The sequence below is a fragment of the Homo sapiens genome, chromosome 12 (genome assembly GCF_000001405.40).
Source record: "Homo sapiens chromosome 12, GRCh38.p14 Primary Assembly".
Taxonomy (NCBI): Eukaryota; Metazoa; Chordata; class Mammalia; order Primates; family Hominidae; genus Homo; species Homo sapiens.
The window spans coordinates 1,129,792-1,145,862 of record NC_000012.12 but is presented as its reverse complement, the minus strand read 5'-3'; the positions used below and the strand labels follow the sequence as shown (position 1 = coordinate 1,145,862).

The following is a 16,071-nucleotide window of genomic DNA, read 5'->3' as shown; positions in this document are numbered from 1 at the left end:
CAAAGTAAACAAAAACATAAAGCAGGGAAATGACACCCTATTCAACAAATGGTGCTGGGATAACTGGCAAGCCACATGTGAAAAATGAAACCGGATCTTCATCTCTCACCTTATACAAAAATCAACTCAAGATGGCTCAAAGACTTAAATCTAAGACTTGAAACCATAAAAATTCTAGAAGATAACACTGGAAAAACTCTTCTAGATGTCAGCTTAGGCAAAGACTTCATGAACAAGAACCCAAAAGCAAATGCAACAAAAAGATAAATAGATGAGACTTAATTAAACTAAAAAGTTTCTGCACAGCAAAAGAAATAGTCAGAAGAGTAAACAGACAACCTACAGAATTGGAGAAAATATTCACAAACTATGCAACTGACAAAGGACTAATATCCAGAATCTACAAAGAATTCAAATCATCAAGTAAAAAACAAATAATCCCATCAAAAAGTGGGCTAAGGACATGAATAGACAATTCTCAAAAGAATAGACAGTTCTCAAAAGAAGATATACAAATGGCCAACAAACATACTAAAGCTCAACAAGGGCTGGGTGCGGTGGCTCACACCTGTAATCCCAGCACTTTGGGAGGCCGAGGCGGGTGGATCACCTGAGATCAGGAGTTCAAGACCAGCCTGGCCAACATGGTGAAACCCCGTCTCGACTAAAAATGCAAAAATTAGTGGGGCGTGGTGGCGAGCACCCGTAATCCCAGCTACTCAGGAGGCTGAGGTAGGAGAATTGCTTGAACCCGGGAGACGGAGGTTGCAGTGAGCCGAGATTGCACCACTTCACTCCAGCCTGGGCGGCAGAACAAGATTCCATCTCAAAAAAAAAAAGCTCTGCATCACTAATTATCAGTGAAATGCAAATCAAAACCACAATGCGATATAATTTAAAAATAAAAAAATAGATATTTGCATGGATGTGGTGAAAAGGGAACATTTTTACACTGCTGGTGGGAATGCAAACTAGCACAACCACTGTGGAAAACAGTATAGAGATTCCTTAACTAAAAGTGGACCTACCATTTGATCCAGCAATCCCACTACTGGTATCTACCCAGAGGAAAGGAAGGCATTATACGAAAAAGACACTTGCACAGGCATGTTTATAATAGCACATTCGCAATTCCAAAAAATATGGAACCAGCCCAAATGCCCACCAATCAACAAGTGGATAAAGAAAATGTGGTGTGTATATATATATATACGTATATATATACACGTATATATATATATATATATACCACAAAATTCTACTCAGCCATAAAAAGGAACGAAATAATGGCATTCGCAACAAGCTGGATGGAGTTGGAGACCATTATTCTAAGTGAAGTAACTCAGGAATGGAAAACCAAACATTGCATGTTCTCACTTACAAGTGGGAGCTAAGCTATGAGGATGCAAAGGCATAAGAAAGATACAGTGAACTTTGGGGAGTCAAGGGGAAGTGGGAATGGGTGAGGGATAAAAAGACTACACATTGGGTACAGTGTCCACTGTTCAGGTGATGGGTGCACCAACATCTCAAAAACCACCTCTCAAGAACTTATCCATGTCACCAAACACCACCTGTTCTCCAAAAACTACTGAAACAAAAAATAATAAAAAAAAGTTTAAGTTTTAATTCACTTTATTTAGATGGATACTTTCTTAATGTAGCTATCAATTCTAACACAAAAGCAAGCACTGTACTTTAGTGGGAGAGAGCTAAAAGCATTCTCATTCAGATCAGGTATAATGTGGAGATGTCCAGTATCATGTAGTGTGGTACACAGAAGTAGAAGGAGAAGGAAATGGGGCACATACATTAAAACTGAACACAGGAAGATAATTATTATTTAGAAATGATAACACTACATATTTGGAAAAGCCAAAAGAATAAACTAAAAAAAAATCCAAACCTTTAAGAGAATTCAGTATGATGACTAAGTACAAAACTGATATAGAGAAATCACAAGCCTTCATGTGCACAAAAAAAACAAGCAGTTAGAAGATGTAATGAAAAATATAACACTTTATAACAAAAAGAAAACCTAGGAAGAAGCTTAATAAATGTATAAAATCTATTATGAAGGAAACATTAAAACATTTCTGAGAAACAAAAAATGAATTCATGGAAAGATATACCCCATTCTTGTCAATTCTCTATAAATTAATAACTACAAATTTTATGTACTCCCAATAAAAAATGCAACAGAAAGAATTAAAGGCAGGAGATGATAAAAGCTGATTCTAAATTTCAAATGGAAAAATAGCCAAGAAAAAAAAAAAAGCTAGGGCACTTCTGAAAAAGAAACGTACCTTAGAAGGAATTAGCTATTAACATATATCACAAAAACACAAAAATTTAAACAATGTTACTGGATACAGACAGATCAATATCACTAGAAAATAAGAAATATTCTAAAATACAACTTTTGTAATATGTCACAAAATCCAGAAGCCTTAAAACATTCACTTTATTTAAGAAGTCTGAACACACACACACACACACACACACACACACACACACACACACACACACACACGAGTCAAAAGCCAAACAGAGCTAGGAGCAGTGGCCTTGGGAGGCTGAGATGGGAAGATGGCTTAGGGCCAGGAGTTTGAGACCAGCCTGGACAACATCTTTTTTATTTTTATTTTTTAAAAAAGGTGGGCTGGTGCAGTGGCTCACGCCTGTAATCCCAGTACTTCGGGAGGCCCAGGTGGGTGGCTCGCTTGAGGCCATGGACTTCAAAACCGGCCTGGCCAACATGGTGGTAAAACCCCGTTTCTACTAAAAATACAAAAAATTAACCAGATGTGGGGGCAGGCACCTGTAGTCCCAGCTACTTGGGAGGCTGAGACAGGGGAATCACTCGAACCCAGGAGGCAGAGGTTGCACTGAGCCGAGATCGTGCCTCTGCACTCCAGTCTGGGCGACAAAGTGAGACTCCATCTCAATAAATAAGCCAAACAAGAAGAAATGTTTAGAACTCACATCGGACAAAAGAACTAATTTTTAAATTGGGAAGAGATTTCTACAAATCAACTTTTAAAAAAGCAGGAAAGAACTCAAAACAAAAATGGGTAAAGCATATAAACAAATAATAGAAAATACAAAGGATGTTAAATATAAAAGTCTGTTCGACTTTACTTACAATGAAAGAACTCCAACTACACTGACATTGTTTGCTCACCTATCAGATTGCCAAAAAGTGAAAAAGCCTATTAACACACTCTGCAGACAAGTATGTGGGAATATAACACTTTCATCACGGATAGTAGAAATGAAACTTGGTACAGTCTCTTTAAGGTTACTTGGCAAAATCCATCAAAATTATAAATGCACATCCTTTCACTCAGCAGTTCAACTTTAAGGACTTTATCCTAGAAATATACTTGACTTGACATATGTATAAACTAAACATGTACAACATTTTTTACTATTAATCATTTTATGTAAAGGAAGAAATTTTTAGCAAAATTAATGTCCATCAGTAGAAATTTTGCTATAGTATATCCATACAATGCTGTTAGTAACAACAATGAAGAAACCCTTGGAAAGAATACCAAAATATATTAACTGAAAAAAGGGGAAATAACAAGCACTAAGGAACAGTAAGATTTGTATTGAAATAGACACACACACATTTTTTTTGCTCATATATGAATTATGTGTTGGTCTGGATGCTACTGGTCTCGGCTTAAAATTGTCATCTTATTAAACACATAAATGAAGTTGTACCATCCCAAGTCCATGTACTAAACCAATTTGGTACAGTTTCAATAAAAGACAGAAGGGGCAAAAGAATGTCAGTTCAAACACTTTGGCAATTTACAAGGCACTTTTGAGAAACAGCATGAAAAGCACTACTGGAAGATACTAACAGTGTTTAAATTTTTAAAAACTGAATATATAGAGCAGTCTTAACAATCTACCTACCGCAACAAGAGTTCCAAATTACTAATCACAAAAATATAAACTGAAAAATGAGCAAGAAACTCTGACAGCATTTAGAAATAACTTAGTGGTAGGAGTGAAGATGTATGAGGAATGGGCCACTGAACTCGAAACACCTGTACCTTACCTTCTTCTGAAGAACATTAACCTTCCGCTCCTTCACATCCAACATGTCCTTGAGGTCATGTATCTCTCCAGCTTGTGTCCCCTTCTCTTCAGCCATATCCTGAATTTGTTTTGTCTTTTTATTCAACATGGTTTCCTTCTCTTCCAAACGCAATCGGAGAGCATCCACCTAAGAATGTAGGAGTTTTACAAGTGATGAATTAAAAAGAAAAGAATGTAATTCCTTTCAAATAGATATGTTATAAAGGTTATAAAGAGGTTGAGTTTTGTTATTCTATAAAAGTAGTATTATCTACATCTATGTTTCTCTGGATTCAGAGTCCAGTGTGCTCACCGTTACACAATGGAATCTCTACAACTATGTTTCTCAAACTTCATGCACATCAGAATCATCTGGAGGGCTAAATCAAGCCCTTAGTCTCTGATTCAACAGGGTTGGGGTTCAAAATCAGTATTTCTAACAAGTTTCCAAGTGAAGCTACATTGCTTTAGAAAATCTAAAATGAGGAAAAGGGAAAAAAAGCATCACCAAGCATAACACTGGCTATATCAGATAATACAGTCTAGTCATAGGCTATGAGGCTTTTATGAAAAACAACCCCATAATGCACTTAGATATCCATACAAAGCAAAAGCAAAGGTCTACTTTTTAGACAGCAAGACTAACCAGCTAAAAAGTTTGGTAACTAGTTACCTTTATCCCTGAAGTTTAATGCCTTTCATTAGATATAACTTTAAAATAACAAGAAATCTAATGATACTTATTTTAAAATCCATTCAGAGAAAATTTTATTAAGCTTTTAGCACCCCACACATAGATTCAGTGCTGTTCAACAGGAAAATAATAAGTCATATTTTCAAGCCGAAAATTGTTAATAAGCTTTTTTACATTCTTTTTTCATTGTCATTTCAAACATATAACCCATATAAAAAACTATTAATGAGCTATTTTATATTTTTTCATACTAACTCTTTGATATCTAATGTATATTTCACCTTTATATCACATCTCAATTTGGGCTAGCCACATTGCAAGTACTTAATAGCCACAAATGGCTGGTGGCTACCAGACTGAACAGTGCAAATCTAAGAAATCAAGTATGGTTCTATGGTCTCTCATCTTTAACTTGTCTTATTTTTCCTATCTGAACGTGGATTAAACCACAAAGAAAATATGAATAATGTTTCACATTTAGGGTACATCAAAGCACTCAGGAAGATCTAATACAGGTTGACCATCCCCAAATCTGAAAATCCAAAATCCAAAATGCTCCAAACTCCAGAACTTTTTGAGCACTGACACGACACTTAAAGGAAATGCTCAATGGAACATTTTGGATTTTCGGATTAGGAATGCTCAACCAGTAAGCATAAGTATAATGCAAATATTCCCAAACTCAAACTCTGAAACACTTCTAGTCCCGTGCATTTTAGGTAAGGGATATCCAATGTGTAGTGTATCTAAACTACAAGGTATCTGAGAAGCAATACTGTGTGTGCGGTGGTACTTCCTGCTCAGTTAAGTAGTATGGAAAATTTCTTAACAAGACTAGTCTCATTGGAGACTGCTATAATAAGTACTTGCTACTACTGTAAGTACTTACAAATTATGTTGGACCATACTGGAAAGGAAAAACATGTAGATAAACCATAGTTCACTCTGCTAAACTACATTTCTACCAACTACTTCTACGCGACCAGTCTCACCAAGCCAGAAAGTAGGGAATAATCATTTGAGCTCCCATTTGTCATTATTCACCACAAGTTCTACCATGCTCCTTCAAGAGTCTTTCATCTGTAATTTACCTCTATTCTACTTTAATATACATAGTTAACCTAATTATAATCTGGAAAGATCTACCTGAGAACTTTCAAACTCTAAATTTTTTTTTCTGAATCACAAATACTGTTCTTTTCTTCCTCCTACACCTACTAAATCTACCCTTTGTCCATAGCATGACCTCTGATCTATCGTCCTTCTTTTTTTATCATTCGTCTCTATTCTGGTTTTTGTTTTGTTTTGTTTTCCTCCCAGCTTAAGCAATGATTTCAGTCTCATATCAACTCCTCAAAAAAAAAAAAATCATACCTGTTTTACTTTACTACTTTATTTCTGAATTAAACAGTTTTCTGGGCCTTCCTGCATGTGTTCATGTATATTTTTGTCACCATATACAGTAATCCCCCCTTGTCGTCGAAGAATATAATCCAAGACCCCCAGTGGATGCCTGAAACCACAGACAGTATCAAACCCTATACACACTATGCTTTTCCTCTATATACATACCTATTACATAATAACATTTAATTTACAAATTAGTCACAGTAAGAGATTAACAACAATAACTAGTAACAAAATAGAACAATTGTAACAATATGCCAGCATCATTACTCTTATGCTTTGGGGCCATTATTAAATAAAATAAGGGTTATGTGAACACAAGCACTGACACTGCAACAGTCGATCTAATAACGAGACAGCTACTAGTGACTAAGGGGCAGGTAGTGTGGGTACGTGGATACACTGGACAGAAGGAAGATTCACCTCCAGGGTGGAATACAGCAGAATGGCATAAGATTTCATCACACTACCTAAAAAAAAGCTTAACTTAAAATCTGGGAGCTGTTCTTTTCTGGAATTTTCCATTTAATATTTTCAGACCACAGGTGACCACAGGTAACAGAAACCAAGGAAAGCAAAAAAGCAGTTAAGGGAGGACTACTGTATATACATTAAAATCCTCACACTTCTGTTCTCAGGTATCGTATTTTCTTCCCTTGCATTCTCCCTGCAGGAAACTTCACACTCTCTCACGGCAATGTGGGAAACTGGGCCTCAGAGGAGATAGCAGGCCCAAGATCTCACAGCTACAAATAAGCAGAGATCTAAGATTACGTGGTCTTGCCTCCAGACCCCACACTCTTAACCACTAATTCTCTAACACCACCCTAACCCACAGGATCACAGCAGGGAATTCAAGGTCCTCCATGGTCAGACGGTCCCAATGTACCAGCACTGCCTAACCTTTGCCATATGCCTCCTTGCCCCACTTCCAGTGGCTCTCCATTGCAGCAGTACTGCCATTCTCTGAATAAATACTATACTTTCCTTCTTTCTTGTCATTGTTCACATTTTGTCCTATGCCTGTAATATCCTTAACCCTCTACCACTTAAAAAAAATCTGCCTACTGAACACATCTTTCAAGGTCCTTTTCCTATGCCACCATTTTAATAAATATTTTCCAAACCCCCAACAGACAAATACTATCTCCCTCATCCTTTCTCAGGGTATTTTGTAATAGAATTTAACACTTTTTTTTCTACTTATAGAACTTAATAACATCATTATACAGAACTTACCAATATTTCTATATATATTATATATAACATATATTATGTATTACATATTATATACAACTTACATATAACATATATTATATATTATATAACATATATTATATACAACATATGTATTATATACAACATATATTATATAATATATATCATATATTGTAATTATATTATATAATATATATCATATATTGTAATTATATTATACATGATATATATTATATAATATATATCATATATAATTATATATGATATATATTATATACAATTATATATATTATGTAAATAAATATAATTATATTATATATAATATGTATTAAATATAATTATATTATAATATGGATTATATATTATATATAATATAAAACAATATATAATTATATATAATTGTATTTTATATATAATTATATAATATATACATTTACACATTTATATATTAATATATATTATATATACTATATATGATAATATTATATCTAATTTATATAAATATATTATATATTATATAATATGTATTATATAATACATATAAATAATATACATAATATGTAACATATTATAAATTATATATATTTTTTGTTTTTTTGAGACAGTCTTGCTCTGTCGCCCAGGCTGGAGTGCAGTGGCGCAATCTCGGCTCACTGTAACCTCTGCCTCCTGGGTTCAAGAGATTCTCCTGCCTCAGCCTCCCTGGTAGCTGGGATTACAGGTGCATGCCACCATGCCCAGCTAATTTTTTTTGTATTTTTAGTAGAGACGGGGTTTCGCCATGTTGGCCAGGCTGGTCTCGAACTCCTGACCTCAGGTGATCTGCCTGCCTCGGCCTCCCAAAGTGCTGGGGTTACAGGCGTGAGCCACCGCTCCTGGCCCCTATTTTGCCCACCCTTTTATCCTCAGTAATCCTATCTCACTTAAAACATTTAGCACTGTAAAGTAGCTAACATTATCTCCCTATTTTAAAAGATGATAAAACTGTGACTCAGCGTAGTTAAATAGTTTACCTCATATTATATTAAAGAACTGGTAAGTAGAAGGACTATGGCCGGGCGTGGTGGCTCACACCTGTAATCCCAGCACTTTGGGAGGCCAGGATGGGCAGATCACAAGGTCAGGAGATAGAGACCATCCTGGCCAACATGGTGAAACCCCATCTCTACTAAAAATACAAAAATTAGCTTGGCGTGGTGGCGCTTGCCTATAATCCCAGCTACTCGGGAGGCTGAGGCAGGAGAATTGCTTGAACCAGGGATTCGGAGGTTGCAGCGAGCCGAGATGGTGCCACTGCACTCCAGCCTGCCAACAGAGTGAGACTCTGTCTCAAAAAAAAAAAAAAAAAGAAAAGAAAAAAAGAAAGAAAAAGAAAAAGAAAAAAGAACTGGTGAGTAGAAGGACTGGAACTCAAAGACTAGATATGACATCAAAGATTATAATCTGTTATCACATACCAAAGAATACCAGCATAAAGGAACACAGGTGAACACAGGCAGGCAGGGAAATCTCTCCTATGAACAGTATGTCAGAAGAGTCAGAAAAGTTTTCTAAAAGAATAAATGTCTGAATTGGTTTTTGAATAATGAAGAGAACATCACTAGATACAAAAGGGAAGGCAGAGAGAAATGCATGGATATCTAGGAAGAGGAAATAGAATACTTTAAAATCTAGAAACATGAAACAGCATGATATACTTGTAAATTCATTTGGTATTGCTTGGCATAAAGTAACAGAAGAAGGACAAGAGACAAGCCTGAAAAGATAGTAGATCATAAATCCTTGCCTGCTAAAATAAGAGGCTTAAATTTTATCCTACTTGCAAATGGAAGTCAGTGAAGATTTTTAAGCAGGAGAAAGTCATGGTATTTGTATATCGGAAAAGTTACACTGGGCTGGTTACTGGAGACACAAAGATAACTAAGATATTTCCTGTCTTCTGCTGAAGTTACAACCTAATGGAGAAGAATGTTGCCAAAATAGATCACATAAATATATTATAGAAAGTGCTGCAACAGAAGTGTAGAGAATATTTTCTAAAAGTACAGAAAAGAAGCACTCAGATTGCTTGGAGATACCTCAAAGCATGTAAAGATGAGCAGAAGATGGCTGGTGAGGAAGATAATGGAAGAACCTTTGAGCAGAGATACCACAAATAATGAAGATTAGAAAGGATGTTAACTTCTCAGAGAGCTATGAATAGAGAATTGCTAAAGCATAGAATAGGTGGTAAGTTATGTGAGGTGCAGCAGAAGACAAGGCCTTAGCCACGGAAAGCATCAGTGTCATGTCTAGGAGCTTGACTTTTATTGGTTGTATATAAGGGATAAAAGAGAGATAAGTCAAACATGGGTTCCCAGGTTTCTGATGAAGAAGACTAAATGGGTTTTAGCTTCGAGAGAGAATAAGAACCTTATTTTTGGTGTGTTATTTCTGACATGACATTATATCTTAACAGTCTCCCTGATAATACCTGAAATGCTTTGATAAAAACCTGAAAATACCTGATAATGACCTGAATATGAGCTAGAAATCCAGAAAAACCTAACTGTTTTACTCTCTTAGGACTGCCCTAACAAAGGACCACAAACCAGGTGGCTTTAAACAATAGATTTATTTTCCTCTCTCCAAGTTCTGGAGTTTAGAAGTCTGACATAAAGGTGTAGCAGGACCTTGCTCTCTATGAGGGCTCTGAGAAAGAGCCTTCCTTGCCTCTTGCTGTCTCCTGGCTCCTCGTCTTGTAGACGATGCATCACTCCAATCTCTGTTTCCACCTTCACTTCACCCTCTTCTTTGTATCTTTATATGTCCTCTCTCTTCTATAAGGACTCCAGTCATTGCATTTAGAGCCCACTCCATCATGATCTTATCTCAAACCTTAACTAATAATAGCTTCAAAGACCCTATTTCCAAATATGGTCACATTCTGAGTACCAGGTAGACACAGATTTATGGAGGATACTATTCAGCCCACCACACCTACTGCTACAAAACACCCAGAAATGCTAGGTAAAGCACAACAAACTTCTTTTCAAATTCATAGATCAGCATGCATATAAGCATATACAGAAGTGTACACATAGAGAAAGAGACAACATCACTAAAATGTTGAAAACAGAGACTAGAAGCCCGAAGTGGTAAGCTTATAACAGAAGTGACACCTGTCCTGCTTTTTCATTGACTTGTTTCCGTGACCTGGAGAACTGAGTTTGGAAGATGCCTCCAGTAACAGAAAATAAGATATCAGGGCAACACAAAGGTTAGGTTGGAACAGGAAGCAAAATCCCAAGCCCCCTTTGGGCAAGTACCCTGCTCTAGAGAAGCCTCAGGCACCCAAATGTTCTGAATGTTCCCTTCCATTACCATTCTCAGACCCTTTGGTCTCAGGACTCCTCAGCACTCTTAAAGATTACTGAGGACCGGCAGGGCACAGTGGCTTAGGCCTGTAATCCCAGCACTTTGGAAGACCAAGGTGGCCAGATCACCAGAGGTCGGGAGTTCAAGACCAGCCTGACCAACAGGGAGAAACCTTGTCTCTACTAAAAATACAAAATTAGTCAGGCATGGTAGCGCATGCCTGTAATCCCAGCTACTCAGGAGGCTGAGGCAGGAGAATCACTTGAACCCGGGAGGCGGAGGTTGCAGTGAGCTGAGATCACGCCATTGCACTCCAGCCTGGGCAACAAGAGCAAAACTATGTCTCAAAAAAAAAAAAAAAAAGTTACTGAGGACCCCCAATTATTGAGTTTTTATTTATGTGAGTTATATCTATCAATATTTGCTACACTCAAAATTAGGGCCAGGTGCGGTGGCTCACACCTGTAATCCCAACACTTTGGGAGGCTGAGGCAGAAGGATCACTTGAGGCCAAAAGTTCAAGACCTCCCTGGGCAACATAGCAAGACACTATCTCTACAAAAAAAAATTTTTTTTAATTAGCCAAGTGTGGTGGCACACACCTATAGTTCTAGCTACTCAGGGGGCTGAAGCAGGAAGATCGCTTGAGCCCAGGAGTTCAAGGCTGCAGTGAGCTATGATCACACCACTGTACTCCAGCCTTGGTAGCAAAGCAAGACACTGTATCTTTAAAAAAAAAAAAAAAATTAGAACAGCTTTTAAATAACAATAAACCCATTATGTTAATCAAAGTAACATTTTAATTTCAAAAACCTGTATTTTCCCCCTAAAATAGTAAGAAGAATATAATTGTTTTAAATTTTTGCAAATCTCTTTAATATAATCAAGGGGGAGGGGGTGCACGAGGAGACTAGCTTTAGAATAAATGCAATTTTGGTACCATCTAACAAAGCTTAAATGAAAGACCCAAAAGAATGAAACTATTTCCAAGTATTTTACCAGCATCACAAAACAAAGTTCAGTAATATTTACAGGAATACAAAATGCCTAGCACCCAACAAGGTAAAACTCACAATGCTTGGCATCCAACCCAAACTCACCAGACAAGCAAAGAAGCAGAAAAACACAACTCATAATACAAGGACAAAAAGCATTCAGTGAAAACTGAGATCAGAAATAACACAGATTACGGTATGATCTCACTTACATATGGAATCTGAATAAAGTTGAACTCAAAGAAACAGAGAAGAGAATGGTGGTTACCAGGGGCTGGGGATAGGAACAGGGAGAGGCATGGGGAGATGCTGATCAAAGGGTACAAACCCTCAGTTATAAAACGAGTAAGTTCTGGGGATCTAATATACAGCAGCGTGTAATTAATAATGCTGTATTATATACCTGAAATTTGCCAAGAGAGTAAAAATCACAACACTCCGCCATGCAAACAAAAAAAGGTCCAAAAGGGAAGTGTCAGAACAGACTGAATATTGATTCAGTTAAAAGAAAAGGATTGCAACCACAGAGTAAAGACCTTAGTGGAATATGAAATTCAACAACCAGGCTGCTCAAGATGCCAAAGAACCCACTGACCCTTATCCACTGGCATTCAGGCACAGCTCAAGCCAGCCAGTGTTGCTACTAATCCTATTTGACAGTGTCAGGTTTGGTTCCTATTAGCTGAACCCATTACAAGGCATCAGTCATGGCGAAGGTGCTTACTGAATCTGGTGACCCTTCTACACAGTTAAGGAGGTCAAAGCCTTAGAAAAGTATACATGTCAGAAATTTGAAAAATAAATAAATCACATAATCATTTGCATCTAATTACTACATGCTAATCTGTATTTTGTATACTATATATTAATCTACCACTACCTCTAACCAAAAGCAAAAAACAAAGCACCTCATTAAAAACAAACAAACAAAAAAAAACCGGCCAGGTGTGGTGGCTCACACCTGTAATCCCAGCACTTTGGGAGGCCGAGGTGGGTGGATCACTTGAGGTGAGGAGTTCAAGACCAGCCTGGCCAACAATGTGAAATCCCGTCTCTACTAAAAATACAGAAAAATTAGTCAGGCGTGGTGGTGCATGCCTGTAATCCCAGCTACTCGGGAGGCTGAAGCAGGAGAATCACTTGAACCTAGGAGGCGGAGGTTGCAGTGAGCCAAGATTGTGCCACTGCACTCCAGCCTGGGTGACAAGAGCGAAACTCCGTCTCAATTAAAAAAAAAAAAACCCACATTATTTTATCCTGTATGTCCTAAATACACAAATTCTTACTACAAAGGCAAAAAGCTTAGGCATTCAAACCTGAAGTCTCAACTGCCTAATTTTCTTGTCTCTCAGTTCTTCTAAGCATTAATTTCAGAAAAAAGCCTTTCCATCTGCGGGACATGGATCTGTATGTAGGAACACATCCCTCATCACTTCTAAGTGTTTTTCATTCTGATGGCACCACCATCACACAGGACAACATTTGTGAGACCCCACATTGCTGCCTCTTTATGAAAGGCACCCAGATGCCCAAGCTGCACTTTATATTGGATCCATGATTCAGTTAAGTGACCTGGAAACATGTCAATGCTGACCGGACATAAATACCCGCACGGCACTGAGAGAGTGTCAAGTATGAATTGGTGACCGAAAAAGGTGACTGAAAAGGGAAAGAATAAGAACTCTTGTTATAAACATACAAACCTTTAGTATAAGTGTGGCTGGAAACACAGGCTTTGATACAAAAAATATTTCATATAATAAATATTAGGAACAGAAACTGCCCGTCCATACCCCTAATTATTAAATGATCTTTTATTGACTAAGTATTCAATTCACATCACCTGTGTACACTTTGTCTTAGTCTGCTTTTTTGTGCAGTACAGAATTCAAATATGCTAGTCTGGAGATTTGAGATAAAAACCACCACAAAAACCACTTTGCTACTACCAGATTAATTGCTCTGAATTCTACACTGATCTTTTGGTTTGGAGTGAACTAAATTTGTAGTATAATTTTGCGTGAGGTCCATATTTTACAAACCACAAAAAACATATTCAGGAAAACCCCTCAAAGACCAGCAGGACACACACAGTCATTGCCCTGACACCAGTCCTGGCAGGAGGAATAAAACCTTGTTTATTCACACCAGCAGAGCTGCAGGAACAGCATTCGCCCAACTTGCCAAGTTTGTCTGTAGCAAACAGGTCATGCCAACTTCAATAAAAACAGAAGGCTTTTGTCTACAAGGTTTTCTCTACCAATGGAAGTGAACAGAAAATGGCTACCCTACTGTTTTGGCCTCTCACTTCTGATCAAAAAACAATTAATTCTGGCTGGGCGCGGTGGCTCACACCTGTAATCCCAGCACTTTGGGAGGCCAAGGGGGCGGATCACAAGGTCAGGAGATCGAGACCATCCTGGCTAACAGGGTGAAACCCCATCTCTACTAAAAAAAATACAAAAAAATTAGCTGGGTGTGGTGGTGGGCACCTGTAATCCCAGCTACTCGGGAGGCTAAGGCAGGAGAATGGTGCGAACCCGGGAGGTGGAGCTTGCAGTGTGCCAAGATTGTGCCACTGCACTCCAGCCTGGGTGACAGAGAGAGACTCTGCCTCAATTAAAAAAAACCAATTCTCTCAACGTACCTTAACTTTCCTTTGTTTTAAATCAATAAACAGATCTATCTAAAGGCAAATTAGTAGTAATAATTAGTTGCATGGATATGTGGCTTGTTTCCTATCATTCCCCTCTTGGCTTTGCCAACATGACACTTTTCCTTTCTAACTCTGTGATCACACCTTTTCAGTGTTCTCCATCCTCTGTCATTTCCTCCTCCTCACATCTCACTGCATGGAACCTCCTCTGGAGAAACTAATCCAATTCTAAGGCTTTCACCACCACCTCCACAGCTTCCAAATCTTTATTCCTGGCCCCAACTAGTTCTAAAAACCTAAAATTCTAATAACTTTTATTTAAACCACATCTTCCATTGATTAGTTTAGAATGAGACATTTTTAAGAATTCTTTATTTTAATGTATGTTAAATCTGACTGGTATCTATTATATTTTCTACAATTTTCCTGTATTCCACAGTACTTCATAAATTTTTTTAACAGTTAAATAACTGAATTTAAACTCCCAACTTTAAAGCTGAGAAAAATCAAGGCCCAAACTAATTAAGTAACTTGCTCAAGTCCACTCTAAATGATATATCCTATGACTGCATTTCCCATTGTTCCCACCTAGATGGGAGGCTGAATGCTACGTGAAGGGCACTGAGCCATGGGACTGACAGCATTACAGACCACACGGAAGTAAACTGTTTTAGAGTACTGTTTCAACAAACTGCAATTGTGCTCTGTTTGATACCCCATACTTGACAAAAAGATGAAAAGCTCAGATATCAAAATAGTCAAGGTAGAAATGAGTCATTCCACAGTACATAGTTTAAAAAAAAAAAAAGACTATACGTTTCGCAAATTTATATTCTGAAAAATTAATGTTGATACCTTCACTCATTTTCCCTTGAAAACTCATAGCAGACAAAGAAGACACAGTATTGGCTACACAAAGTATACTGCAATAAGTGCTATTCAGGTATGCAGCCCCAAGGAACTCTTGGCCTCTGCAAACCTGATAAAGCATGGCAGTCAGCCAACCTACTTTGACCCCTTAAGCCAACACATAACATAACACTTCCTCGTTCTGGTATCAGAACTAAGATCAACAAAGCCTTATAACTCTATGTGAAAACCCTCACAGAAAGGGAGAATTCCTTATAGCTTTCTCTATGTGAAAACCCTCCTGGGCTCAAGTGATCCTCCTGTCTCGGCCTTCCAAAGTGCTGGAATTATAGGCATGAGTCACTCTGCCTGGCCATTGCAGAGGTCTTTACGCTTTCTTACAATTTCTGTCTTCACACACCTTGAGCTTCATTTTCATTTTGCCACTGTAGAAATATATATTCCATTTATTTCATTCCTATGCTCTTGACAGGGAAGATAGAAACAATCTAGATGCAGAATTCCACCTGCTGTATTATTTAGCAACATTATACCAACAAGGAGAAGCAACAGACAAGCTCTTCCTTTTGTGATCTTTCTCTGAAATTCCTCACCTTTACTGAATAAACCTCAATTGATTTGCGAGTTTTGGCTGTAACGGCACTATTACTGTAAGGTCTATGCCATACTATTATATTGATATTAGATTAGTTTCTCCTGTTACATTAATGCCTTTTCATCTCCTGTTTTTTTTTCTTGCATCTCATTCTTTTCTTCTTTCTAACATACATCTTTTAACA

At 37.5% G+C, this 16,071-nt stretch overlaps 1 protein-coding gene across 53 annotated transcripts in view; it reads right to left on the bottom strand.

Annotated features, from left to right (window-relative positions):
• Window positions 1–16,071, bottom strand: part of ERC1 (ELKS/RAB6-interacting/CAST family member 1) — a 505,975-nt gene that overhangs the window by 350,071 nt on the left and 139,833 nt on the right. For all 53 annotated transcript variants that reach the window (NR_027948.3, NR_027946.3, NR_027949.3 and 50 more), the window contains one exon: window positions 4,076–4,243. Coding sequence is in view for 49 of the 53 variants with exons in the window: in XM_047428566.1 (XP_047284522.1) it covers window positions 4,076–4,243 (168 nt within the window). In the remaining 4 variants the exon portion in view is untranslated. The remainder of the gene's footprint in view (window positions 1–4,075; window positions 4,244–16,071) is intronic.